The sequence below is a fragment of the Homo sapiens genome, chromosome 8, assembly GCF_000001405.40.
Source record: "Homo sapiens chromosome 8, GRCh38.p14 Primary Assembly".
In the NCBI taxonomy this organism is placed as follows: domain Eukaryota; kingdom Metazoa; phylum Chordata; class Mammalia; order Primates; family Hominidae; genus Homo; species Homo sapiens.
The window spans coordinates 140,555,576-140,583,477 of NC_000008.11; the positions used below are offsets into that span (position 1 = coordinate 140,555,576).

A 27,902-nucleotide genomic window follows, 5' to 3' on the forward strand; every position below is an offset into this window, starting at 1 on the left:
AAAGCAGTACAGCCTTCTGGGAAATAATTCGACCCTCGGTGAGTGTCTGTCACACACAGAATGGTGCTCTCTAAACTTTCATGGGATAATAAAAATTATCTTCTGAAAACATTAAGGATAATTCTGAAAAACTTTAAAAAGGACCAAGGAAAGCCATTCCTTTATGAAATCTCACGTCTTTTACAGGCTCAGCCGGGAGTAGAAAGGATTCTCCTGCATGGAACACAGTCTACACCGCGGGCGATAGCTCAGAACCTGAGAGGGGTCGCAGGGCAGAGACATGCCCCGCAGCCACACGTTCCCCGCCGCCCCACACGTACCCTGCCCCCGTAGAGGATGGAGGGCGGCTGCAGCACCCGCCCAGTCACGTCTGTCATCTCATCTTTGACCATGATTCCAAATTCACGGACGTATGGATCTGTGTTGAAACTTGCACTTCGCATCTGGCAAAGGGAAACAAGAAAACGCACGGAGTGGGTGGAGGCCTCCCATCTCTCTAGCAGCTGCGTCCGTTCCAAGCATCAGAGGTTTCTGTGCCAGGGCAACCGGACTGGATTCCACAGGGCAGCCCTGCCCGGGACTGACACTCACCAATTTGCTAATCTCTTCTTGCCGATCGGGCGCCGACCTAGCAGTCGCTCTGATCATGGTTGAGGTCTGATTGTCCGTTAATTTTTTAATACATCTTTGTCCTGCCACAATGTTACAGACCTGTGAAGAGGACGTAGAGACAGGCCGTCAGTGCCGCACTGGAGTGACCAGGGGAGCAGGCAGGGGGCTCAGGGGCTGGTGGCCTGGCTCTGCTTGGGACCGTCTCTGCCTCATCCCTGGGCTATGAAGTGCTGTGCAGGTGTCTGCTGTGGGGGCTGCTCCACGGCCTTCCGCTTCACAACAGAAATGCCTGTTAAGTAAACCCCACGTCACGCGAACACAGAGACCCCACGGCCTCTGTGCCCAGCCCACCAGGTGAGCGGGGCTGTGTCCTGACACCGGCACTTCTGGGCTCTCTCCAGTCTTCGGTGGCTGCGGGCGTGAAAGCAGCTGCAGGTGCGAAAGACGTCTACCTGTGGGACGAGGTGCTGGAGCTGCCCAGCCCTACCTGAATGACAGGATCTAAACACCAAGGGAAGAGTTACAGCACATGGCTCAGGGTCGGAATTTGATCCTTTCCCAAGGCAAGGATTTTTCAAAGAGTCGTGATGTTAGAGGAGAGTGAATGACGCAACGGTGCAGTGACGGAGCACCTGCCTCGCGCTGCGGGGCCTGCTGGACACGTTACACACAACCTCAGGCAAGGTTCACACCAATCCCACAAGAGAGCTGCAGACCCCATTCTACTGAAGGCAAAACCGAGGTGTAACAAAGCCCATTAACCCACCCGCATTCCTGCAGCAGCAGAGGCAGTGCCATTTGTATCTGACTGGGGCCTCGGCGGTTTCTCGAAGCTGCATGCCCCAGCCTGGGACGCCGCCCTCCCAAGCCCCCAGAGACACACAGGAAGAGGGTGACTTGCCTCCAGGGGAAGGTAGGTGTGTTTCTGCTCCTGTCCGACTTGTAAACATGGGAGGTGGGGGTAGCGCAGAACCAACTTGTGCCTGTCCTTGAAATACTGGGCCACCGTGCACTCCACCGTCTGCCCGCTCTCCTGCTGCAGCGGGAATCTGAGGAGCAAAGGGGCTGTTCAGGCCGAGGGCATCCCGGAGCCCCTTCCCCTGCGCTGCTTTTCATTTGCGTTTGCTTTTTAGGGTGACGTGTGAGGAGCAAACATTCAGAGCACTTCCGGGAGTGAAAACCATGTCATGTGCTTTGGGTTATCTGGAATGTTTCTGAGCCCCTAAATTCTCATTTTGTTTCTGGAGTTGGGAAACAAAAAATACCTACATGCATCATTACTCATAAATTATCCACAACGTCACAGTGTGTGTAAAGGAGTCAGGACGAATGGGCACGACCAGAAAGGCCTGCGCGTCTTCCAGCAGACCGTGGTGACCCTGGAAGCCTTTTACGTGCCGCGCGCTCCCGGTGCCCAGAAGGCCTGAAGCCCCCAGGACAGGACGAGGAAAGCAGGCCAGGCCGGTTCCGGCCGCACGGTGACGGCAGGAGACGCCTGGGTGCAGTATGGGTGAGTGAGGGGGAGGCCCACAGGCACAGGAAGGGTTGGCCTCTGTGTGGGGATGAGGGCACGGGGGCTGCTAGTGCAGGGCAAAGGGCCACGTGGCTCAGTTTCTACTGCACAGACCCCTTCCCCCAATCCAGACTGCCGGGCCATCTGCAGCCTCTGCCAGGCCACAGGCCCTCTCGTCCTTCTGCTCCCTCAGCCACGGGCATCTTGGTACCTCCAGTGCCTGGCAACAGGCCTGGCACTTTCCATGGAATGATCCATGAAATAAACGAACCCTACCGGCCTGGGAGACATTAACTGGGGCACAGGGGCCAAATCTATCACCTCCTCCCGCAAAGAAACACCAGTACAACCCAGGACAGCGGTGCACTCTCACCCCCCACTCCGGCCTGCGTACCAAACCGTGCTCTTGCCGTAATGATGGGACACGCGGACTGGCCCAGGGAAGGGGGCGTGGGTCAGGGCCACAGACCCGCCACCTCCAGCACTAAGGATGGGACAATGAACACAAAAGACCCTTCTCTCCTCTGTGAGGCTCAGGAAGGAAGAGGGAGAGAGAGCCTGGGCCGGCCCTTCTAGCACCCAGGGGGAATTTCATGATCTGAGTTTATTTTCTTAGGTGAAGTCTGGAATCTACTGAGCCATGTAAGGGACAATTTTGGGATTGAAAAACAGCATGAAATGGTCCTTTCTGGAGAATGGGCACAGAATCATGGCTCCAGAGTGTGCCCGTCGGAGTGACAGTGGGGGCCCCAGCCAAGAGAGTCTGAAAGGAAGGGCGTGTTACGTTTGGTGACTGGCGGGCCGCCGGGTCACATTGCAGACGCGGTACTTCCTCTTCATCTGCCCACAGTGCGTTATCTCCACCTTTAGACCTGGGGACACAGAACACAGGCATCGGCATCGGGGCTGTCCCGACCTGAGTGCAGGCGCCACTTGCGAGAATCAGTTTTCATAGGAATGTGGCTGGGGACCCAAGTTATGGGGGGCTGCAGGGCTCCCCTAGGGAGGGTGACCCACAGGTCACCCCCAGGCCACCCCAGCCGGGTCCGTCTCACCTACAAGAGTACCACGTGGTGGAGGGGAGGCTCAGCTTAGAGCATGGGGTGTCCACCCTCGTGCTGTTCTGCGCCCCCCATGGGTCATCGTGATAACACGGGGTACGGTGGATGGCCCTGCAAATGGCCTTCCAAAAGGACGGGTTCAGCGGGCAGGGCTTGTGGAGCCAGGGGTGGGCCCCCCATTCTGTTGCTGATGGGCAGAAGGACCCCGGGTAAGTCCTAGACCCCCCCCAATCTGAGTTTCTTGGAGTAGAAAGCAGGCTGACTGGGTACAGACACCTGCCGGGCTGTGTAAGGATTAAATGAAGACAAAAGAAAACGCATCCTAGGTTCCAGCGTTAGGAAATGCTGATCACAGCCACGCTGCTGCTTCTAGTCCTGAGATCATGACTCAGACGTGACTGACTCCCCAACCTCATCCTCACCCCATGGGGTTGTATTTATTTAGGAAACCCCCACTCCCGCTCTGGGAAATGGATCTAACTCATCTCCATGCTACCTCATCTGATGGCTACATTCTGCCACCCCCACCTCCCCAAATGCGCACAAGAACCAGAACTGCAAAATGCGGTCCCGGAGGCGGACCGGGAAGGGGCCTCCCAGCCCTCAGCCAGGTGTGCTGGGACAGTTCATTACCTTTAATTTCTTTGGTAAACTTTACCCTTTGGGAATCTGTCAGAGGTTTTTGTTGTTCTTCAATACTTTTAAAATCCAAAACTTCACAAACAAACTCGATTACTGGCTGTGCCTTGTAAAACGCTGTTGCTGACACTGTAGGCGAGAAAAGAGGCAAAGGCCTAAGCATGACTGTGGGGCTGCTGGACGGGCCCATAGTCCTGGAGGGGCCTCATAGGCCAGGCCAGCCATGGTGGGGACACCCGGCCGGGGTTCTCACTCCCTACTGAGGCTAGCCTCAGGCCCAGACACGGGCAGGCCAGCAGTGACAAGCCCAGGCCCTAGCTGCTGGCCTCCCTCTGGTCAGGGTGACAGAAAGGAGCTGGCTGATTAGTTAAAGACTAAAGTCACCCTCCGAGAATGAAGCCAGTGTTGTAGGATTTTCTGGTTACCGTCTGGTGTAGATATTTCTGAAATTCACCATTTCCTTTTATGTAGTTCTTTTTCAATAAATGTATAACTGAGCAAGATCAAATTCTCATTGCTTTCTAGAGCTTTTCATAATAATCAGCTCCCAAATGAGAAGACAGATCCTTTTCGCTGGCCTTCACTCTCGTCTTTTTCACAGAGAGGGCAGCGGATGTCCTGCACAGAGCAGCGACTAAGCCTCCCAAGAGAGGGACAGGCCACACCCAGGCTACAGTCAAACCCAGGCCTACAGGAGGCCAGCAGCAAGGAAGCCCCGGATCCTCAGGCCCGCCTCAGCCCCTGACCACAGCCTCTGAGGGTGCGACCATCTCGTGGCTTCACGCTGGCCTGAGAGCCACTGCCGTAACCCACCCAACACTGCAGGTGAGACCAGCCAGGTGTCACGCAGCGGCGCTGGCTCTGACAGAGGCCATGCGTGGAGCTGGCCACATGCCACCCCCCGACCGGGGTCCTGACCCCCCAGCCCATGCCCAACCCTGCCCTGCAGTGAAGACCCCAGGGCGCTGCTTACCATCAATATTCAGCATCATTTTCCAGAGAGAAGGCCGGACGGACTGATGGAAGCCAAACCACACTTCTCGGCCCCCGCCAAGAGGGTTAGAGCAGCCTTCGGACGCGGTGAAGAAGGAGCGGCCCACGGGGGTGTACCTGGAACCAAGAGACCCCACCCCGCCTCCCGTCAGATGTGTCTTCCGGAAGGAACAGCTGCCTCTGGGTGGGCTTCGCCTGCGCCCACCACACCCTCATCAGAGTTCCGTTTCCCCTCCTTTTAAATCCACGTTTACCACACGGCACTCCAGCCTGTGTGCATGGCCTGCTGTGTGGGACACTGTGACAGCAGCAGGCTGGGGGACCCGTGGCCTCACTGGGGGATGGTGAAAGACGTTTAAAGACACCGCACAGGTGGATCACAAGCCCCCAGGACCTGGCGTGTTTCTGGTCCAGACTCCCTGTCCTGGCTTTGCCTCGCCTTACTGTCCTCACTGTCTACTCTTCACCTCTTGGGGCCTGTGTCCCCAAGCGCAGATAGAATTGGGCACCTGCCAAGTGCCAGCCCCAGCCAGGCCCAGCCCCAGCCGTGGGGAGACGTGTTGCTTCTGGCCAGTGGCTGTCCACGCATGACCCAGCATCTGCCGGCTCCTTTAGCCGTGGGCTCCCCAGGTAGGCTCCGAGGCCCCGGAGCTGCCCGCTGTGGGCTCCCCCGTAGGAGGTGGAAGGGCCAGCGTGAGGGCTTCACAACCTCTTCCGGGCCTGCTAGGGATGCTGCGCTGACCCGGCTGGAGCTACTCGACTGAAGCAGACGCATTCTCCAGCACAGCAGCCTCACCTGCTGCACGGGCACCGTGGGGTCTGGTGGCCCGGGAGGCGCCGTCACTAATGATTCTGAAGGGAAAACACGCTGTGAGCCTCGATGCTCCCTACTTGTGGGCTGCGCTGATCTAATCACCTACACGGCCCTTTCACTTTCCACCTGAGACGTGCTAATAATCCCGCCTCTACTGCTCTTCTTTTCCCAGAATGAAAACAGCAGTTTCCTCCCTGATTATAAAATTAATGTAAGTAATCCAAAGGAATTCGGAAAAGAATCACAGTCATTTCTGCAACTCTATTAACAAGGTAGATGCCATTTTGGCAACCATCCTCCTAGAGTGTTTCTCCACGTACCTACGGCCTTCCTCCACCGATAGTTCAAAGCAGAGACAGATTACACGTGGGGGAAGGTGTGTTCCTGCCGGGAGTGACAGCCTGTCCTGTATTTGGTCACCTCCTCCCATGCCTGAAGACTGAGAACACCATGGTCCCTTCTAAAAATCTTACACATGGCCTCAAAGCACCTTCTCTTCTATGAGGGAAGCCCCAACTCTCTCCTGGAATCTTAAAGCTTTGGTCAGTCCTGGGGTTTGTCACTGTGGGGTTTGTTTTGGTTTCGGCTTTGGTTCGAAAGAGATGAAACTTGAAAACTCAACTTGTTCCCGGGCACCAGTGTGAGGGCAGGTGTGCTGAGGGCTGACGCGCTGAGCTGGCCTTGCTCCTGCAACAGCGGGCCACTCAGGAAATTAGTGCAACCCTCTGCCCAGCAACCGGGCAGCTTGTGAGTCCTTCAACTGCTCCCCTACACCCTCTCCCAGCAATCGCAAGTGTGGCCATTTGTGGTAAAAGAGTAATCCTGAGAAAAAGGACGTCCCCAACAGTCACAAAAAGCAGCGGTGATGGTCCCTAGAGTTGCAGACATGCATGCAGCACGAAACTGGGAACACAGCATTACTCTCCTATCACGAGTCCCAAGGGCAAGAGATGAGCAGAAAAGTGCTGGGTGCAGAGGGCTGCGCGGAACACGAAGGCACCAGCGTGCACACAAATAGGGAGGCCAACGTTCCGGGCCAGGCCGAAAATGCTGGTGACTTATGTTTATATTAACACTGTTTCCACCTTAGCACCATTTGTGTTATCTTCATCACAGAAAACCCACGTGACCACTCCCACCCTGGATCCAAGAATGAGCCGTTCCTCGGACAGATTTCAGACCCTGCGGGGGGCCCTCGGAGCTGCAGGGGAGTCCCCCGCCCTTGGTCCCGTGTGGCGCCCTCACCTCATGGATGGCAAGTGCCTCATGACCACGTCCAGGGCCTGGATCGTCTCAAAAGGGACGCTGGGCAGCCGCCCTGAAAGTGCATCGTGTAACGCCTGCAAGCTCACGCAGGACACCCACTTGATGGACACCTTGAAGATGCGATCCTTGCCTTCTCCTGGCAGCGTGACCTCCAGCTCCACCTGCGAGGATCCAAGGCACACAAGGTTACTCCCTCCTGCGAAGCCCCAGGGAGGACGCAGCCTGGCAGTGGTTGGCTTCCAGACACTCCTGGGTGAGGAAGTCCCCGCCCAGGCCTCTAGCCAACCACTAGCCACATGTGGCTATGGAGCACTTGAAATATGACCAAGGAACTGAATTTTAAACTTTATTCACTTACTTTTGATGAATTTAAATGTACAGAGCCACATGTGGCAGTGGCTGGTGTACTCACAGTGGTCGAAAACGTATCCTCGTTTCACCCCCAAACAATGAACTCACTACCTCTCTCCTCCCAGTCTCTGAATCGCCCCGTCCCTCACCTATGGGTTGCACCTAACGCCAGATCATGCTGCCGTCACCTGCAAGCCCCACTCCGCTACTCAGAACCCACAGTTGAATCGCGATCTGGCCCTCATACCTCCAAATATGTGGACACACACGAGCCCACTCAGGTGACGCGTGAAGCAACTTTGCTATTTGCTAATCATGCTTCCCAGTGTCTGAGGAACACCGATGTGACAGGTTACAGATGGTATATATGTTATCCTCACATGCCCAGTGACCCCAGCAAGGGAAAATTCATTCGCCACTTTTGTTGAGACAGGGTCTCACTGTGGCCCAGGCTGGAGTGCAGTGGTGCAGTATTGGCTCACTTCGACCTTGACCTCTTAGGCTCAAGGGATCCTTTCGCCTTGGCCTTCCAAGTAGCTGGAACTACAGGCACACGCCACCAAACTCGGCTAATTTTTTAATTTTTAATTTGGTAGAGATGGAGCTTCACCATGTTACCTGTGCTGGTTTTGAACTCCTGGGCTCAAGGGATCCTCCCACCTTGGCCTCTCAAAGTGCTAGGAGTACAAGCGTGAGCCATTGTGCCTGGCCGACTCACCACTTTTTATCCATGAAACCACAGAAACCCAGACTTAAAAAAATAACCCAAGGCCACAAAGCCATGAAAGGGCAGAGACGGGATCTGGACCCCGAAGGCCTTCCCACTCCATGTGTGATGCCAGGGTCCCAGGTCTTCAGCACCGGCCTCTCCTAGCCTGCCCAGGGCCTGCTGCCTCTGCTCTGTGCACCTGAGGTGCCCTCCCTGATTCAGGACCACAAACCCCAGTGTGCCAGCATGCCCAGGTCCAGTGTTGTTTGGTGGCACCAGGCACATTTGCTCGCTCGCCCACTGCCCGCCATGCCCATGCCCAGCTCCCATCTGCTCATCCTTGTCGCCCAGGGCCTGGCCTCTTGCCACACCTTGTTTGAACCTCACGGAGCTACGACCAGACTCTGCGGGCGTCACCTGCACACCTGGGTCCCAGGTACACACCCTTTCCACCTGGGCCTGGGCTGGCTCTGGCAGACGCCCACGAGCCCTCAGAGCACTGTTGTGCCCGATGGCCCCAAACTGGCCGCGCCCCGAGGACCATCTGCAAAAGATGAGGGCAGGGAAAAAGGATCGAATCCTTCCAGCCGGATAGACTTCAAACATCGAATAGCAAGAAAAGCAGCAAGCCACAGAAGGGCGCCGCAGCACGATTCCTTCCAGACATCAGAGCCATACGCACAGGGGATGCAGCACAGCTGAGGAAACCAACAGAGGAAAGGGCCAGCTTCACTCAACTCATCAGGACAGCGGAGGGGGTGGCGGTGGGGGGACGCAATCAAGGCTTCGCCCATGGGGGATTTCAGGGTGGGAGGAGGGAACAGCTGGGCCTGGGTTGGGGGTACAGGATGTGGTTTAATACCACTCTTTAAATAAATGTACATAGCTGGCCCTTGCACAACATGGGTTGGAACTACGCAAGCGGAGTTATATATGGATTTCCTTCAGCCTCTGTTACCCCTGAGATAGCAAGACCAAGCTCCTCCTTTCTCTCCTCAGCATGAAGACAGAGGGGATCCTTTATAATAATCCACTTCCACTTAATGAAAAGTAGACATATTTTCTTTACCTTATGATTTCTTAAATAACTTTCCTCCAGCTTAAGCATGTAAGAATAAACTATATAGGGCCAGGCACAGTGGCTCATGCCTGTAATCCCAGCACTTTGGGAGGCTGAGGCAGATGGATCACCTAAGGTCAGGAGTTCAAGACCAGCCTGGCCAATGTGGCAAAACCCCATCTCTACTAAAAATACAAAAACTAGCTGTAACAATATCATACACTGTGGAATAATATGCAGCCATAAAAAGGAACAAGACCAGCTGGGCGCAGTGGCTCACACCTGTAATCCCAGCACTTTGGGAGGCCAAGGCGGGTGGATCACGAGGTCAGGAGTTCGAGACCACCCCGGCCCATAGTGAAACCTCGTCTCTACTAAAAATACAAAAAAACTAGCTGGGTATGGTGGCACGTGCCTATAATCCCAGCTACTTGGGAGGCTGGGGCAGGAGAATCGCTTAAACCTGGGAGGCAGAGGTTGCAGTGAGCCGAGATCGCACCATACTCCAGCTTGGGCGACAAGAGTGAAACGCTATCTCAAAAAAACTCAACAAAACAAAACAAAAGCCAGGCACGGTGGCTCACACCTGTAATCCCAGCACTTTGGGAGGCTGAGGTGGGGGGATCACGAGATCAGGAGATCGAGACCATCCTGGCTAACATGGTGAAATCCTGTCTCTACTAAAAATACAAAAAATTAGCCGGGCGTGGTGGCGGGCGCCTGTAGTCCCAGCTACTGGGGAGGCTGAGGCAGGAGAATGGCATGAACCTGGGAGGCAGAGGTTGCAGTGAGCCGAGATCGCGCCACTGCACTCCAGCCTGGGCGACAGAGCAAGACTCTGTCTCAAAAAAAAAAAAAAACCCAAAAACCAAAAAACAAAAAACAAAAAAATACAAAAATTAGTCGGGTATGGTGGTGGGCGCCTTAATCCCAGCTACCTGGGAGGCTGAGGCAGGAGAATCATTTGAACCCAGGAGGTGAAGGTTGCAGTGAGCCGAGACAGCACCACTGCACTCCAGCCCTGGGGATCAGAGTGAGACTCTGTCTCAAAAAAAAAAAAAGAAGAAGAAGAAGAATAAACTATATAATACATGTAACCTATAAAATATGTGTTAATTTACAGTTTATGTTATTGGTAAGGCTTCTGGTCAACAACAGACTATTAGTAGTAGTTTACGTTTTGGGGGAGTCAAAAGTCATACATAGCTAGGTGCAGTGGTTCACGCCTATAATCCCAGCTCTTTGGGTGGCTGAGGTGGGAGGATGGTTTGAGTCCAGAGTTGGAGACCAGCCTAGGCAATATAGGGAGACCCCATCTCTGTGCTCCCAGTTACTCAGGAGGCTGAGATAGGAGGATCGCTTGAGCCCAGGGAAGTCAAGGCTATAGTGAGCTGTGATTGTGCCATTGCTCTCCAGCCTGGGTAACAGAGAAATTGTTTCAAAAAAAAAAAAAAAGTTATGAATGAATTTTTGACTGCATGGGGAATCAGCGCCTGTTATGTTTGGCTATGTCCCCACCCAAATCTCACTTGAATTGTATCTCCTAGAATTCCCACATGTTGTGGTAGGAATCCAGGAAGGTGACTGAATCATGGGGGCTGGTCTTTCCCGTGCTATTCTTGTGACAGTGATCCAATTGGTTTATCAGTGGTTTCTGCTTTTGCTTCTTCGTCATTCTCTCTTGCTGCCGCCATGTAAGAAGTGCCTTTTGTCCTCCACCATGACTGTGATGCTTCCCTAGCCACATGGAACTGTATGTCCAATTAAACTTTTTCTTTTGTAAATTGCCCAGTCTTTATCAACAGCATGAAAATTGGCTAATACAGCACCATTAACCTTTTTGTTGTTCAAAGGCCAACTGTACATATATTTCTTTTTCATTAGTGCTACTTCATAATAAAATTCTAAATAAGTCACACACAAGTAACAGTAACTGAAAATGCACATTTGGCATAACACTGGCAACATGGCAGACATTCCTGCACTCACTGGTTCCCCCCTTTACTTTCTTTTTTTTTTTTTTTTGGGGGGGGGGAAGGTGTCCCGCTCTCAGTTAAAGAAACAGATCTGGAGGGGCTGACTGAGGCGCCCCGGGCCAGGTGGCAGGAAGCAGAGGGGCGAGTGCCCCTGTCAAACTGTCTGACTCCAGAAAGGGAGACAGAGTCTCTATGGGCCCAGGACCAGTGGCTTGGCTGGGCATGGGGGGACAATTCCAGTACGGACTGGCAGCTACTGGGTCCCAACAGGAGTAGCCGGTCGCTGAGAAGGGAGTGCCATTCCCCTTGTCCAGAAACAGCACGTCCAGGTCACGGCGTGCAAGTGGAGTGAGCTTGGGAGTGGGAGAGCGCGTGCATTTCCAGCTCACACACGCCCCAGCCAGGAGGTACTTTAGGCCCGAGTACATCTGCGGCAACAGCACTCGGCATCCAGCCTACAGTGCTGTGCCCTGGCACGGATCGGATGCCTGTCAATGCCACCTTTCAAAAACCTCTGTAGTCAACACCGAGGGGCAATGGCAAGGGGTCTATTTTCCCACAGCAAAATACATTCTAATTTGTAAATGTATTTCAGTCCAGCCTCCGCTTGGCCTGCAGAGAAAGGACAGCAGAGTCACCCCGGGCTCTGTAACTATCTGCCCATCCCACGTCCACAGTGGCTGGCTGGTGCTCGTGTGTGGCAGCTTAGGGCTGCATGGAGATTTTACGACGGCCATCACGCCACGAGGGCAGGAGGCACATGGCTCTCCAAGGGACAGGCACCGTGTGCGTCTGGGCTGCCAGCAGCAGGTGGTCCACACCCGAGACACTGCCGCCTCTCAACAGCCCAAAGCGCTCGGTCCCAATGACATGACATCTGAAGGTCACTCCCAGCCCTGCTGCCTCCCGTGTTCTAACCTCGGGCAGGTGGCTCCGTTGGCTTCCTGCACACAAGGGGACAAGCAGGTGGCCCCGCCCACCTCACAGGGCACTGGTGCCAATTGTGTTGCAGCGCTACAATCTGGGAGTGGCCCAACTGCCATTTTCTGAACATGGATAATAGAAAATGTCAGCCCAGGACTCGATCCAAGGCCTGGAGCACGGCGAGGCACCTGTGACATCCAATCTCCCCAGACAAGCCAAACCCGCAGGCTGGCCTCCCTGTCCGGAAATCCTCAGGGCGAGAGAAGTAGGACTGTCATGGGGTGATTCCTCTTTGGGGTCGTCACACAACTCAGCAACAAAGGGAAAACAGCACTCTAAAGAATGCAAAGAGGCCAGCCTGGGGCTCACGCCTGTAATCCCAGTACCGTGGGAGGCCGAGGCGGGCTGGATCGCTTGAGCTCAGGAGTTGCAGACCAGCCCGGGCAATGTGGCAAAACTCTGTCCCTACAAAAAGAAAATTAGTGGCGGGGCACAGTGGCTCACACCTGTAATCTCAGCACTTTGGGAGGCCCAGGCAGGTGGATCACAAGGTCAGGAGTTTGAGACCAGCCTGACCAACATGGTAAAACCCCGTCTCTACTAAAAATACAAAAAAAAAAAAAAAAAAAAAGAAAAGAAAATTAGCCGGGCATGGTGGCACATGCCTGTAGTCCCAGCTACTCAGGAGGCTGAGGTGGGAGGCTCACTTGAGCCTGGGAGGTGGAGGTTACAGTGAGCTGACATCGTGCTACTGCACTCTAGCCTGGGTGACAGAGCGAGACCATGTCTGGGGGAAAAAAAAAAAAAGAGAGAGCACAAAGAAACTGTGTATGAAGCCAGGGAAAAGGCACAGAGGCGCAGCTGCCTTTCAAAAGGCTGTTCCTGCACTCAGCTTGGCTATGGCCCTGGCTGAGCCCACGGCCTCCCTGTCCACTGCTGCTGAGGAGGGAGCGAGGGAGGCACTGCAGGCGTGGCATGTCTGGCTGGCCACGAGGATCCTGACCTGGACGGGGCCTCCCTGGGGCGGCAGGAAGAGCGACCACACCCGCTATGCCTGCCGAGCCCAGGCCGAGAGACAGCTGCCAGGCTGCGTGCCACATGCCCCTGCCAGGAGGGGCCGTGCAGTTCATGTCTTGTTGAAATGTGCCAGGTGCTGAGGTCTAAAGGCATCCTGTGACTCTGTAGGGCAGCAGCTCTCGAAAGGCAGATCACTGACCCCCAAAAGACCTCAGCACCAAAACCAGTCCCACCCATCATGTCTGCAAAGTGTAGTGGGAATTCAAAGTCACCTGGCAGATGACAGAGCAGGTACAGGGAGTGGCTGCTCGGTTAGGGCTCGGCACCACCTCCTGACCAGCTTGTATTGGGGTGGGCTTGGGTCAAAGCACCTGGCTCATTCGAGGGGACCCTTGGCCCTGAGAGGTTGCAGGTCAGCCCCAAAGATGCTTGCGCCAGGCCCAGGCTGGGCAGGCTCCCTGCCGCACACTGCCCAAGCGGAGCCCCCCATGGCTTCCTAGGCCTCTCCTCGCCCCCGCCCGCCTTCTCTCCCCAAGCCTTCAGGTGCAGAAGCTTCACTGCCTTGGGAGCCCTTGGCCTCCCTTGCTGCCAGACACCCCCATCCCAGGTCAGCAGGCAACAGCCCGGCACTCCTGTGGCCATGGCATGGCTGAGCTGCACAGAGAGGCGGACAGGCAGGAGTGCCGAACTACCATGTCCTTCAACAGTGAACTCTGTGCGTGGCTGTCTTCTCCCAAGGTACACTGCTTCCAGGCAGGGTCTGCTATTGTTCTGAGCTGTGGGTCTGCCCTAACTTCCTTCTGGGAAGGAGACACCGGTGCTGTCCACCACCACTCCTAGACCGTGTCAACCCAGACGCTCAATTTGATCATTCAGTGAGATGTGGGAATAAATTCTCAGGTTCATCTTCCACCACCCAAATCCCTTCCAGGCCAAAGCCACTTGTCTTTTGTTATTTAGGGAGTTTATAGTTGTCTCCATATGTTCCTAAACAGTGCTCCTTCTGGCCACCTTCCTAAATTTTCTATTCAACTGAGCAGAGAAGCTCCAGGGAGCTGCAGACCTTCCATGGGACCCAACAAGGGCAGGCATGGAGCTGGACCCAGAGCCAAGAAGACCAGACGACACAAATCATGCCTTCAAAGAAGAACCCAGGAGTTCAACCCAAAATGCTGATCAACTTGTATAGTTTCCTGTCTCCACCTCCAGTTCTGGGAGGTGAAGGAGTGAGGCTGGGCGGTCCCAGCGTCTCCCGGGCCTGGGAGAACTCGTCTCTCTTTCCACACAGGGGCTGGGATGAAGGCAGGCAGGCTAACATTGCAGTAGGAGATTTAGGAGCTTCGTGTGTAAGGGCGATGTGACACGGGCCCCCTGTGCAGAGGCCTGGACCAGAGCCGCCAGAGTCCCCACGAGCCTCCAGGGTAATGGAGCATCAGAACGATTCCGCTCTTACCACAAGTGAGGCACGAAAAAGTACTTCACAGAAAAAAGACAAAACCCAAAGACGACACTGGGACACGATGCGAGAAGATGGACATGGGACACCGCCTTACGCAGGCTCTCACACAGAAGGTTAATTTCTGCACCCTGCAGAGATCCTACAGAACCCCCAAACCAGTGGGAGGAGCGTGGTCTGCAGCCGGGGTACCCCCATGCTAACCGAACACAGTGGCTTTGAGTAGGTTCTCTATGCTCTCTGGGACATGAGCTTTTCTTTTTTCCTTTGTTTTGGAGATGGAGTTTTGCTCTTGTTGCCCAAGGCTGGAGTGCAATGGTGTGATCTTGGCTCACTGCAACCTCCATCTCCCGGGTTCGAGTGATTCTCATGCTTCAGCCTCCCAAGTAGCTGTGACTATAGGCGTGTGCCCCTATGCTTGGCTATTTTTTTTTTGTATTTTTAGTACAGACGGGATTTAGTCATGTTGGCCAGGCTGGTCTCGTACTCCTGGCCTCAAGTGATCCGCCTGCCTCGGCCTCCCAAATTGCTGGGATTACAGGCATGAGCCACTGCACCTAGCCTTAAACAAAGAATTTTAAACTCTCGCTACTCAACATGTGGCATGGGGCCAGCAGCACAGGCACCGGCTAGGGCTGGTGGGAGATGCACCACCCAGGACCGTGGGGCACAGGCACCGGACGGGGATGTACATGCTCACTGAAGTCTCACAAAGCCCCTGGGAAGTAGTTTTTATTGCCATCTCTCCGTTTTACAGGTGAGGCAGTTGAGGCTTGGCCAGTTGAGGTGCCCCAGGTCCCACCACAGGAAGGGTGGAGCCAGGCCTCACACCCATATCTAGTTTTACCCCAGAGTTTGTGCACAGTTAATTTCCACAATGACAGGTCTCAAATTTAAATATCAAATACCATATAGACGCCCTCAGCCCCTTTTCAGAAAAACTACCCTGATGCCCGCCTTGTGTGTAAATATAAACATATACAGACAAAACTGTGCACAAACTCCTTATGCTTTTCTTTCTTATAAAACTATAAGTAAAAACAAATGCAAATTAAGCACAGAACTTTAAAATGACTACATTTCAGCTCCACAGCACACTAGTTTGCAAGGGGTGATCGTGCTTGACTGATGTGCATTTGGTCTAGGACTTGCTCCTCTTGGGAAAACCAACGTCTATCACCCTGGGCTGGCAGTGACAACGCACAGACCACTGCCCCTCTTAGAACCATGAGATCGCTTTATGCAGAGCCCTATATCGTAACTCGGTCTCTGCTCAGTCACAGCACGTTCTCCCTTTGTCAGAGCGTGATAAGGTGAAGGAGCATCACTGGGCACTGAGATTGCTGGGCCCTGCTGACCATCCAGAAAGGCTGAAAGGAGCTTATTCATTTCAAGATTATCATCAAAATGAAAAACCAGCCACTCTGGAGGCTGACGTGGGAGGATCGCTTGAGCCTGGAAATTGAAGGCTACAGCAAGCGTGATTGCACCATTGCTTTCCAGCCTGGGCGACAGAGCCAGACCCTGTCTCAAAAGCAAAAGGAAGAAGACTGAACGTCTGTAGAGAGAGCTGCTTGCAGGCCACTTGCTCTCCCACTAAAACAGACATCCCTGACAGCAACTTGAGACCCTTTGCATACGGAGCTGGCTTCTTTCTCAGGAACTCAGGGTTTAAAAAGCAAACTGTGTATGTTGTTCCCAGAGGGAATCAGCCTTTCATTCTCATAGTTGTTAAACTCCTGGTTTCTGATGTGTTTGCTTCTTAAAGTATGTGTAAAGATTATTTTTTATTTTTTTGAGACTGAGTCTCACTCTGTTGCCCAGGTTGGAGTGCAGTGGCACGATATCAGCTCACCATAACCTTCGCCTCCCAGGTTCAAGCGATTTTCCTGCCTTAGCTTCCCAAGTAGGTGGGATTACAGGCACCTAGCTAATTTTTATATTTTTAGTAGAGACGGGGTTTCACCATACTGGCCAGGCTGGTCTCGAACTCCTGATCTTGTGATCCGCCCACCTCGGCCTCCCAAAGTGCTGGGGTTACAGGTGTGAGCCACCGCGCCCGGCCTGTAAAGATTATTTCTGAGCCGGGTTTCTGCTCTTCTTCTACTTACGAATAACACCCGTATCACTCTGCAGCAGCACATTTGTTGAAAGATATTCTCAAGAAGTGACAACTTCTGGGCAGAAATTTTATTACTTTTTAAATAAAGCCACGATAAGGCTAAAGGTAATAAAAGAAGGTGACATTTTAATACACCCCCTCCCTCCGGGTTGACTAATCACCATCATTCTAATTTCAGATGAGTCACTGGCTAGAGCAGAATGTTAACTGGGCCTCACTGCCATGTCTCTCTCTCACATACCCCTATATGAACGTAATTTTCCATAGGTCTTCTTGTGGAGATGGAGTCTCATTCTGTCACCCAGGATGGAATTCGTGGCGCACTGAGATAGCTCACTTCAGCCTTGAACTCCTCAGCTCAAGCCATCTTCCTGCCTTGGCCTCTGTAGGTCTTTATAATACTGGTGCTTACTCTAAGCTCTTGTCTGGCGGTGGTTTGTGGCTTGTGTTTAGCATGTGTACTTTGTACTTAAAGTTTGGTGGTTTCAGCAAGTTCTCGATATCCGTGTCTGGACCTAGACAAGTTAAACCCCCATCACTGAAAGCCACAACACAGAGAAGGTAGTTTTTATGGATCTCAGGACGAAGCATGTGGCAGTGAACTGCTCTCTCCTCCTCAGTGAAATAGTTTCGTGTATGAGAACAGGCATGACAGACTTTACAACATGTGTGAGCTTTACTTCACCGTATGTTACTCCACCAAGGGCATCCCGGCGAGCTTACCTTGTCCCTCCCAATCGGAAGGGGCATGGCTGTGTATAGATTCTTCCTGCCGTCAAACACGGGCTTCCGATCCCCAAAGATCTGTGTTTTAAAGTGCTGGACCATGTGTTCCACGATTTCCCTGAAACAAAGACAAAAGTCGGGCAAAATGTCAATAAAATGGAGAAAATGGCATACAAGGACATTTTTCTGACGCTATTTTTTTTTTTTTTTTTGAGATGGAGTCTTGCTCTTGTGGCCCAGGCTGGAGTGCAATGGCGTGATCTCAGCTCACTGCAACCTCTGCCTCCTGGGTTCAAGCAATTCTCCTCCCTTAACCTCACAAGTAGCTGGGATTAACGCCACCACGCCCGGCTAATTTTTTCTTTTTTTTTTGAGACGGAGTTTCGCTCTTGTTGCCCGGGCTGGAGTGCAGTGGCACGATCTTGGCTCACTGCAATCTACGCCTCCTGGGTTCAAGTGATTCTCCTGCCTCAGCCTCCCAAGTAGCTAGGATTACAGGTGCCCGCCACCACACTTGGCTAATTTTTTGTATTTTTTTTTTTTTAGTAGATACAAGGTTTCATCATGTTGGCCGGGCTGGTCTCAAACTCCCAACCTCAAGTGATCCACCCGCCTTGGCCTCCCAAATGCTGGAATTACAGGCGTGAGCCACCGCACCCAGCCCTCTGATGCTATTTTTAAAGCAATTTTGCAAGACCTGTGGCTCCTTTGGGCAACATGACTTCCAACTTCTATAAAGAAGCAAACTAGACCCATGAGTGGGTTTGTGCTTGTGCATTTTAGTGAAACACGGGAGAACCTGATACGCGCTGGGCACTTTATATGCCACATACAGCAGATGACAGACACTTCCAGAACCTCCGGAGCTCTGTGAAGGCACTGACGAGAAGAACAGAGCTTGTGACATTTGTGTTCCATGGAGGTAGGGTCAGGCGCCCATGCCTCTGCACAGCTACCCACTGTGCACACAGACTGACAGGTGTGGCTCAGCTCGGCTGTGGGCCTTGCTGTGGCCACTAGGATTTGCTCTGTAGCCCCAGTCAAGGGGTTTGTGAGACTGGCTTGGCCTTCTGTGCTCCTCTGATTGCCAGAAGAATGAGTCCCGGGTGCTGCTACCCCTCCAGTCCAGCCTGACCCAGGGGCCCAGCCAAACCTCAGCCCACTTGCAGAGCCATGGTATGAGACGGATGCTTGCTGCTGGGAGAGACTGGGGTTTTGGTGTTGGGGGCTCAGGCATTCCAATGGCAGAAGGCTGCTAGATGCAAGGGAGCTGCTCTGCAGGGCTCCATGAGCAGAGATCCACGACCCCCACCCTCCACCCCCCAACCCCCACTTCCCCACCGTGACAGAGAGGCCTCCAGAAACACACTCTGCAAACCTCCTGCTGGCCTTCAGCTCTGTTCCAAAGAGGTACCAGCTTGGCATAGTACTCTCCTGGCATTTCAGGTGCTTGTTTTATTTTATTTTATTAGAGACAGAGTCTCGCTCTATCACTGGAGTACACTGGCATGATTACTGCTCACTGCAGCCTTGACCTCCCGGGCAGAGGCAATCCTCCCATCCCAGCCTCCCAAGCGGCCGGAACTACACGCCCAGGCCACTATGCCCAGTTAATTTTTAAATTTTTTTGTAGAGATGGGGCCTCCCTTATGTTGCTCAGGCTGGTCTCGAACTCCTGGGCTCAGGCAATCCTCCTGCCTTTGCCTCCTAAAGTGCTGGGAGTACCGGCATGAGTCACTGTGCCCAGCTCAGGGGGGTTCTGAGGCATTTTGACCCAACTCACTAAATGCCTGCCCTCGCACACTACGCCTGATAAAGTGCAAATATGAAGAGCTGGGGTCCCTGCCTGCCCACAAAGGCCCATGTGAGGGAAATGCAGAGGCCCATGGGGTGCTTAACATCTTGATTTTTTACCAGGAAATGCCAGCTCAGGGGATGTGGTAAAGAGCGAGAGAGGAGTCCACCAGCAGGGTAAGGTGGGGGCGGGGGAGTCACTGACAGACTTCTGAAGGGAGGTGGGATTGGAGCGTGGCTAGAATGGTCTTTCTCTTGGGCAGAGCCTCAGTCATCTCTCAGGAAGCAAGAACCTGCCAACTCCTTCCATTCCTTTCCCAAAAGTCGAGGCAAGCTGGCCTGGAGGGCTTTCCTTATTCAGAATGGCTTTGCTTGGTCCACCTCCAACAGCCACAGGAAGAGGGTCTCAGGGATCCAGCTAACCTGCCCTCAACACCTGCGGTCTGGGGAGTGCCCGTGGCAGATGCCCAGAGCCTCTCAGTGACATCTTTGAGGGCTCCACCAAGCTGCACCCGCCTCTGACAGTGCTGGGAGATCCAGCCTGGGCAGGGAACAGCCCCGAAGGCCGTCAGCATGGCCCTGGCATCCATCCCTGCCATGCCTACCTGGCAGCCACGGCACAATCTCCCCTGGCACCTCCCTGGCAGCCAGGGCACAATCTCACCTGGCACCTCCCTGGCAGCCAGGGCACAATCTCACCTGGCACCTCCCTGGCAGCCAGGGCACAATCTCACCTGGCACCTCCCTGACCTGCTCTGGGCTGCCCAAGACAAGGGATGCCCTGCAGCTCTCGCAAGAGGACAGCTCATTCCTCTGCACTCTCCAAACATTACAAAGGGTCCCCAACCTTCGGAGGCCCTCATCTCCCTGGCCAGGACTGCACAATCAACTTGAGGTGCAGATGGCTCCATTGGAGGGGAAGGTGGGTTCTACTCACATTCAAAGAACAAATCATTCTGGCCTAATTCAAACCTGACCTGAACAGAGTAAGATGGCACACACCCTGACTCATTTCATGAGGCTAGCAAAACCTTTAGGTTGAAACCAGACAGGAAGAGTACTAAGAAATCATGGGCCAATCACTTACAAACAGAAGCAGGAACAAGACATTAACAAGCTGAATCTAGCAACATGTTCAAAAATAAATCATCATGTCAAAGTTCAGTCGATACCAGAAACAAAAGGTTGTATTTAACATTATAAAATTAATTAACATGAAACAGGTTATAAACCTAAAAGCTATAACTGAGAAATGCCTAGAAGAAAACATAAGATAAAAACGTTCCTAAAACTTGGGATAGACAAAAATTTCTAAGAAATGTCCCTAAAGGAAAAATTCATAAACTAGGCTCCATTAAAATTAATAACTTTCACCCATCTCTTAAAAAAAAGAGAGAGAGAGGCACCATTATAAAAATGAAAAGACAAGGCCAGGCGCGGTGGCTCACGCCTATAATCTCAGCACTTTGGGAGGCAGGCGGATCACTTGGGATCAGGAGTTTGAGACCAGCCTGGCCAATATGGTGAAACCCCGTCTCTACTAAAAATACAAAAAATTAGCTGGGTGTAGTGGTGGGTACCTGTAATCCCAGCAACTTGGGAGACTGAGGCGGGAGAATCGTTTGAACCCAGGAGGCAGAGGTTGCAGTGAGCCGAGATTGTGCCACTGCACTCCAGCCTGGGCATGACAGAGTGAGACTCTATCTCAAAAACAAACAAACAAAAACAAAAAGATGAGCAATCAACTGGGAGGAAATATTCCATAATCACAAAGACACACATCTAACAAAGAACTTGTATGCATAATGTATTTAGGAAAATTCTTACAACTCAGTAAGAAGATAATCCAACTTCAATGAGCAAAATATTTGACCAGACACATGGCAGAAGAGGATACACAAATGGCGGGTAAGCACATCAAAGGGTGTTCATCACTCGGCTTTAGGGAAATGGAAATGAAGCCACAGACATCCAGCAGAAAGGCTAAAATCAGACAGGGTAACAATACCAAGAGCTGGTGAAGGCGGAGGGAAATGCTCTCTTCTACGAGGCTGATGCAACTGCTTTGGGGAAAAAGTGTGGTTTCAGTGTCTATTTACCACCCTGTCTAGCAACTTCTGACACAAGAAAAATGAAAACACACATCCACGCAAACATTTGCATACAAATGTGTATAACAGCTCCAGACTGGAAACAATTCAAATCAATGTCCATCAGCTGATGAGTGGACAAACCCATGATGCCACACCCGCACAATGCAATACTTGAATCCACCGCTACACGCAACACGACGGGTGTCTTAGAAACACGCTTGGCGGGCCAGGCGCGATGGCTCACACCTGTAATCCCAACACTTTGGGAGGCCGAAGCAGGTGGATCACGAGATCAGGAGATCGAGACCACCCTGGCTAACACAATGAAACCCTGTCTCTACTTAAAAATACAAAAAATTAGCTGGACGTGGTGGCGGGCACCTGTAGTCCCAGCTACTCGGGAGGCTGAGGCACGAGAATGGCGTGAACCCGGGAGGCGGAGCTTGCAGTGAGCCGAGATCACATCACTGCACTCCAGCCTGGGCGACAGAGCAAGACTCCATCTCAAAAAAAAAAAAAAAAAAAAAGAAACATGCCTGGGGAACGAAGCCAGCCACCAGGAGGAACAGGTATACAATGATAATGATTCCACGTATAGGAAACCCTTTGACAGGCAAAAACAATCTACACTGACAGAATGCAGGTCTGTGTTTGCCTTGGGGCAAGGGACAACACACTTAACTGCAATGGGGCAGGTGCTTTGGGGTTGTTAGCATGTCCTATTGATTGTGGTGGTTCTTACAGGAGTGTATACCTTTTTTAAAGATCATAGGCCTACATAAAGGTAATTTCAGTAAAAATCCAGAGAGGGATGTATTTTTATTTGATAGGATTTAACAAACTCATCCTAAAATAGAAGTAGAAATCTGAGGACAAAGGCTGGCAGGTATTCTTGAGGAGGAGCAGCTGGAGGGAGGCCATGGCGCTGGGGCAGGCAGAGAGCTCGGGACAGAGCCCAGAGTCCAGAGCCCAGAAACAGGCCCAGGGATGGGGGTGGCAGGAGACAGAGGGCAGGACACACTTCTCAATGACTTATGGCAGGCAACCACACACACCCAGGATTCAAGGAAATACAACCGAGCCCCACTACTGGAGACACTCCTCTGGATGAACATTCACTGTTCCGAGCCCCATCCAGCACTCGGCATGATCACTCCGCTCACTGACGGTCCTGCAGGCCCCTGGAGGCGGGGTCAGGTCCAGCTCATCCTGCACACCCAGCACGGCGTGCGGCTTGGGCTGGGCGGATCTCTCAAGAGAAGGAGGCTGTTCGGTCATGCCAGTGAGGCAGTGCCCTGAGGGGCTACAATGCACACCCGTGGAGTCGGCTGGCAGACAATCCTGGCCACCACTCAGGCCTCCGCCGCCCAGAGAGAGCATCCCTGGCCACCGGCTCGCAGCCCCCATGCCTCGGGGCCCAGTGCCGAGGGTGAGGAGGGGCCGATCTTGTGTAAAGCAGAGAAACTGGACCTCGTGGCTGTGGCAGCAGGATGGCACCTTGCTGCCTAATTCTAACACGGGGGGTCCCTTCCCTCCTCAAACACACATGACCACGTATTTGGCAGTTAATTTTCTTTCTTTGTAAAACTGTGATAAAATACAGATAACATAAAATTGACCATTTCAACTAAGTGTTCAGTTCAGCGGCATTGAGTGTGTCCATGCTGTTGTGCGACCATCACCACCCTCTGTCCACAAATGATTTTCACTTCCCCAAAGTGAAACTGTACCTGTGAGGCACTAACTTCCCAGCCAGCCCACGGAGCCACCTGGGGACCCTGCTCGCGGAGTCCCTGAATCTGGTCCTTCGTTTCGAGCCGGCGCAGGCACTGGAAAGTGAGCAAGCGTCCCTGCTTCTGCAGAGCCAGCTCTGCTGGCCACCCAGGTCTCAGGCTTGCCCTTGACCTCCCAAAAAAGATGACAGCCCAGGAGTTCATTTGCATGCATTCCGTCCACCAGTGGGGCCCCAGCCTCTAAGAGAGTGACCCATGTTGAAACGAAGGAAAAGGAGAACCACGGCCAAGCTGTTAGTGCTCGTTCTGCCAAGTTCTTAGTGGGGACAGCTCCCTCTTCAGTCGCCACCCAGGGAAAGGGCAGCGCCAAGCAGCACCCCGCACGGGGCCGGGGCCGCCTTGCAGAAGCCGGAGCGTGTTGCTAATGCCGAGAAGCAAGTGTCTGCCCCGTTTGCCTGTTTGCCCTTTTGTCATAATTCTGAGAGGTTCCCTCTTTTACAAATGTCATCCTTTCATTAATTTCTAATTACACAGCTTTTGCCTTAATACATTCTCACCAAAAGTTTCACATAACGATAAAGCTAAAAGTCCCAGCCTGGGCAACACAGAGAGACCCCATCTCTACAACGTATTTAAAAATTAGTGGAGTGTGGTGGTGCGCGCCTGTGGTCCCAGCTACTTGGGAGGCTGAGGTGGAAGGATTGCTTGACCTCGGGAGGTTGAGGTTGCAGTGAGCCATCACTGCGTCACTGCACTCCAGCCTGGGTAACAGAGGGAGACACTGTTTCAAAAAGAAAAAAAAAAACAAAAAGCTAAAAGTCTGTTTACAGTACCCACTCATTTCAATCCCCATTCTAAGAAGTAACCTTATCCTTTTCAAACCTATGCTTTCACATAAACACACAGCTATCCAGAAATACATTGTTTTATTATTTTTATACACATGGTATCAAACCCACACTTCTGAGGCGCCCATTTTCCTACTCTGTGTCTTTGGGATCTTTCCTCCTAACTGTATACAATGTCGCCACTAGGTCTAGAACTACAGACACGGTAATCATGTGCCTTAGTGTTACCACCTAACCACTTGCTACTTAGTTGCCTGTGTTTCTGAGCTTGGAGGTCAGCCTGGGAGCCCCATTCCACTCCTGCTAAGCACCACACTGCATGCCCCAGCGCACTCCTCTAACCCACCACTTCCTACTGATACTTAGATGGTGTCTTTTGTTGTTCTTTTTTTTTTTTCAGAGTAGTCATCCTATACATCTCCTTGAGATATAGAGACTGAGAAGGAGAACGGGTGGGTCAGAGGGTACACGATGTTTCTGCTTTAATACCTGCAATACCCGCACCAGACTGTCTTGTAAACAGGCAGGGTCCACCTGCATTCCCGTGAGTGGCTCATGCCCAGAGTCACAGAGCTCTAGGCGCAAGGCTGAGTGTGACACAGCCATGCTGCCTGGCCCCCTGCTCCACAGGCACAGGGCCATCGCATCTGCTGGTTCTTCTGGGGCCACTTGACGGAGCTCAAGACGAACAAGGAGGAAGAGGGGCAGGGGAAGGGAGAGGAGCCCACCTCCTCCTCGCAGCCCACCCGTGCTTCTCGGAACAGAGCATGGGGGCAAGGCCCACGTGACTTCAGCAAGGCTTAGGTCGTGTGGGCCTTGCCCCCATTCTTTCTCGGGGCTGGCTCAAGACTGGCTGTGTTGTGCAGCCACCTTGGTGCCCACAGCTGTACGGGACGCTCCTGGGAGGAAGGGTCTTGCTTGCACCAAACCCCACCCCGGCAGCCCCGGGAAAGGGGTGGACTATACTGCAGGGCCTGAGGGCACTGAGGCTGCTTCACTGTGTAGTTGTCAGAATGTCACAGAGGTAACTGAGGTGCAAGGGCATTTTTCTCATGGCCTTGGATAAAGCCTCTGTGTTGGACTCATTAAACATCTACCCGGGGCATTGTACAAGGTTTTGGGAACTCACGACTAAGACGCCATCCTTGCTCTCACAGAGGCTGCAGTGTGGTAAGAGAAATGGGAAGGAGATGCTGAGCAGCACGACGGAGGAGCCCAGACTCATGATGGGCTCAGGGCCCCACCTTCGTCTCCCTTTCCACTCGGAGCTCCCCTCCAGCGGCGCTGACCATGAGCACCATCCACCTCCCCACTGGGGACAGGAGCCATGTCTGCCTCAGCCACCACTGCACCCCCAGGGCACTGCAACTGATGTGTGAGCGGGGGGTCTCAGGAAGGTGGGTCATGGGAGGAGGCAGGAGGTAGGCCAGGGCTCCCACACAGGTCTTGTGAGCACAAACATTTTACTTCTGACATTTTCCTATGCTGTTTTGATTGATTATAATTTTGAGATAGGGCCTAAAGGTTCCTCCGTCTAGGCAGCCACTCTCAAGCTTGCTCATAGCCTAGCAGGTTGGCCTTGGCCCTGTGCATGCAGCTCTTGCCCTGCATTTGCTGCTTACCAACTGCGTGACCTGAGCCTGGCAGGCGAAACCACAGGAGTGTAGTAGCACAGTCCTGGAAAGACATCACGTTCTCATCACCCTCAGCTTCTTTCTGGTGTCAGATAACGAAGCCTTGGCCATGCCTAGTTTCGTAAAAGAAAGCTGCTTGTGTACTGTGGTCGATGGCCTAAGGGCCCCCCTGCTACCGCACCAGTCAACAGCCCAGAAAATGTGGGCCAGGCACAGTGGCTCACACCTGTAATCCCAGCACTTTGGGAGGCCAAGGTGAGCAGACTGCTTGAGGCCAGGAGTTTGAGACCAGCCTGGGCAACATGGTGAAACCCTGTCTCTACTAAACAGGCTCACGCCTGTAATTCTAGCACTTTGAGAGGCCAAGGCAGGCAGATCACAAGACGCCAGGAGTTTGAGACCAGCCTGAGCAACATGGTGAAACCCAGTCTCTACTAAAAATGCAAAATTAGCCGGGTGTGGTGGCGCATGCCTGCAATCCCAGCTACTCCGGACGGGTAGCTGAGGCACGAGAATCGCTTGAACCCAGGAGGTGAAGGTTGCAGTGAGCCCAGATCATGCCACTGCACTCCAACCTGGGCAACAGAGCAAGATCCTGTCTCTAAAAAAAAAAAGGAAATGTGTATACTGCTTTATGCTCTCATTCTGGTTCTAGGAGTACCCCCTAAATCACAGATTCACACAGGGTTCTATCCCAGGGAAACGCAAAAACAAACCAGCAGTCCCACTGATGGAGAGCCACACAGCAGTGAGATATACTAAAAGATCTAGGAAGACCTTTAGTAAAGAAAGCTGCTTAACCCAGTGGTGCACATAGTTTTTGTTCAGAAATACATGGTTTTAGTAAGTGCATATTTAAAGAACCTCATAGAACTCTCAACATACTCTGGACATGTTGAGTGAATCCAACTGTTTAGTTTTACAGATATGAGAACTAAGTCCCCAGACATTCTCTCTCTTAGCATATTCAGAGTTCTGCAACCATCACCATGGCTTAGAACATTTTTACCACCCCCAAAATCAACACTATACTCAACAGCAGTCACTCCCCACCATTCCAGGAAAAGAAAAATTTACACAACCATTTATAATAGCATCCAAGAACATAGCATACTTTAGATTCATAGTGACCACAATAAAAAATTCAAAGGGGCTTTCTAGCAGAAATTGATAAGTTATTTATATTTATTATTCTATATACTTGGAAAAGCAATAGATCTAGAATAGCTAAAACAATTGTAAAGAACAACAAATTTGGAGGAATTATTTAATCGGATTTCAAGCCTTACCACTTAACTATAGTTAAAATGACCAAGAGTTCCTGGCCTAAAGACAACACAGAAGAGAATCCAGAAATAGATCCACCCACATATACAGGTTGAGCACCCCTAATCTGAAAACCCCAAATCCAAAATGCTCCAAAATCTGAAACTTTATGAGCACCAACATGACGCTCAAAGGAAATGCTCATTGGAGCATTTTGGGTGTCAGGTTTTCAGATCTGCAATGCTCAACTGGTAAGCGTAACGGAAATATTCCAAAATTCAAATAAATAAATAAATAAATGAAAACTTGAAACACTTCTAGTCCTAAGCATTTTCAGTAAGGGATACTCAACCTGTACAATCAAATTATTTTTTTTAAAGGTCAACAGGTAAATCAGTGGGGAAAGAAAAGTATTTTCAACAGACCCTTACCTCACAACATACATAAAAATTAATTCAAGATGGATCGTGGACTAAATATGCAAGCAAAAACTATAATTCTAAAATAAAAACAGGAGAATATCTTTATGATCCCTAGGTAGGCAAAAATTTCCTAGAGAGAATACACTATGTAACAGCTATTTTTAAAAATTTATAAATTGGACTTCAACAAAACTAAAAAGTTCTACTCATTAAAAGAAAGACACCAACAGGAAGGTGAGATGACAAACTTTGGACTAGGAGAAAATATTCCCAGTATAGACTTGTATGATGCTGATTTTTAGGTGCCAATGTGTCTAGATTAAAGAATAATCCAGAGAACTGGTAAAGCTTGACTTCTGGGCATGTCTGTGTGGCTGCTTCCAGAGGAGACTGCGTGTTAGTCAGGGACCAGGTGGGGATCTGCCCCCAGTGTGGGTAGTGCCATCCAATCAGCTGGGGACACAGACAGAAAAAAAGGAGAGAAAGAGTGATTTCTTCTCTCCCTCCTGGGGCTGGGGCACTGTCTTCCTCCTGCCTCGGACATCAGAACTTCAGGCTCCCTTGGCCTTTGGGCTCTAGGACTTATAGCAGCAGCCCTGTGGGTTCCAGGTCTTTGGCTTCCCTGATTATAAGGCTTTCAGACTTGGCCTGAGCCCCGCTACTGACACTCCAGGGTCTCCAGCTTGTAAATGGCCTGCTGTGGGACATCTTAGCCTCTACAATCATGTGAGCCAATTCCCCTAATAAATCCCCTCTCATATCTATAGATATATGTACAGTCATGCGTGGCTTAACCATGGGGATATGGCCTGAGAAATTCACTCAGGCAATTTCATTGCAGTGTGAACATCATAGAGTATATTTACATATACC

At 52.0% G+C, this 27,902-nt stretch overlaps 1 protein-coding gene across 7 annotated transcripts in view, besides 4 other annotated features; it reads right to left on the reverse strand.

Annotated features, from left to right (window-relative positions):
* The window catches only part of AGO2 (argonaute RISC catalytic component 2), a 122,158-nt gene that overhangs the window by 35,420 nt on the left and 58,836 nt on the right, over positions 1-27,902 (reverse strand). For all 7 annotated transcript variants that reach the window (XM_011516968.3, NM_001164623.3, NM_012154.5 and 4 more), the window contains 8 exons: positions 17,237-17,357; positions 6,878-7,059; positions 4,799-4,935; positions 3,820-3,954; positions 2,910-2,997; positions 1,514-1,661; positions 592-711; positions 321-443 (listed from right to left, as the gene is read on the reverse strand). In XM_011516968.3, coding sequence (XP_011515270.3) covers positions 321-443; positions 592-711; positions 1,514-1,661; positions 2,910-2,997; positions 3,820-3,954; positions 4,799-4,935; positions 6,878-7,059; positions 17,237-17,357 — 1,054 coding nt within the window. The remainder of the gene's footprint in view (positions 1-320; positions 444-591; positions 712-1,513; positions 1,662-2,909; positions 2,998-3,819; positions 3,955-4,798; positions 4,936-6,877; positions 7,060-17,236; positions 17,358-27,902) is intronic.
* Positions 1,445-2,644: an enhancer, noted in NCBI's record as "MED14-independent group 3 enhancer chr8:141567119-141568318 (GRCh37/hg19 assembly coordinates)". NCBI's record gives its function as "activates an origin of replication core promoter dependent on BRD2, BRD4, P300/CBP and CDK7 cofactors, and independent of MED14, by STARR-seq in HCT116 cells {active_cell/tissue: HCT116}" and the evidence as "EXISTENCE:reporter gene assay evidence [ECO:0000049][PMID:35650434]".
* Positions 3,905-5,104: an enhancer, noted in NCBI's record as "MED14-independent group 3 enhancer chr8:141569579-141570778 (GRCh37/hg19 assembly coordinates)". NCBI's record gives its function as "activates an origin of replication core promoter dependent on BRD2, BRD4, P300/CBP and CDK7 cofactors, and independent of MED14, by STARR-seq in HCT116 cells {active_cell/tissue: HCT116}" and the evidence as "EXISTENCE:reporter gene assay evidence [ECO:0000049][PMID:35650434]".
* Positions 12,445-13,202: an enhancer, noted in NCBI's record as "H3K4me1 hESC enhancer chr8:141578119-141578876 (GRCh37/hg19 assembly coordinates)". NCBI's record gives its function as "activates a minimal SCP1, AML or CMV promoter by ChIP-STARR-seq in naive H9 embryonic stem cells {active_cell/tissue: H9 hESC(naive)}" and the evidence as "EXISTENCE:reporter gene assay evidence [ECO:0000049][PMID:30033119]".
* Positions 24,064-24,163: an enhancer, noted in NCBI's record as "active region_28030". NCBI's record gives its function as "activates an Ori minimal core promoter by ATAC-STARR-seq in GM12878 lymphoblastoid cells {active_cell/tissue: GM12878}" and the evidence as "EXISTENCE:reporter gene assay evidence [ECO:0000049][PMID:35858748]".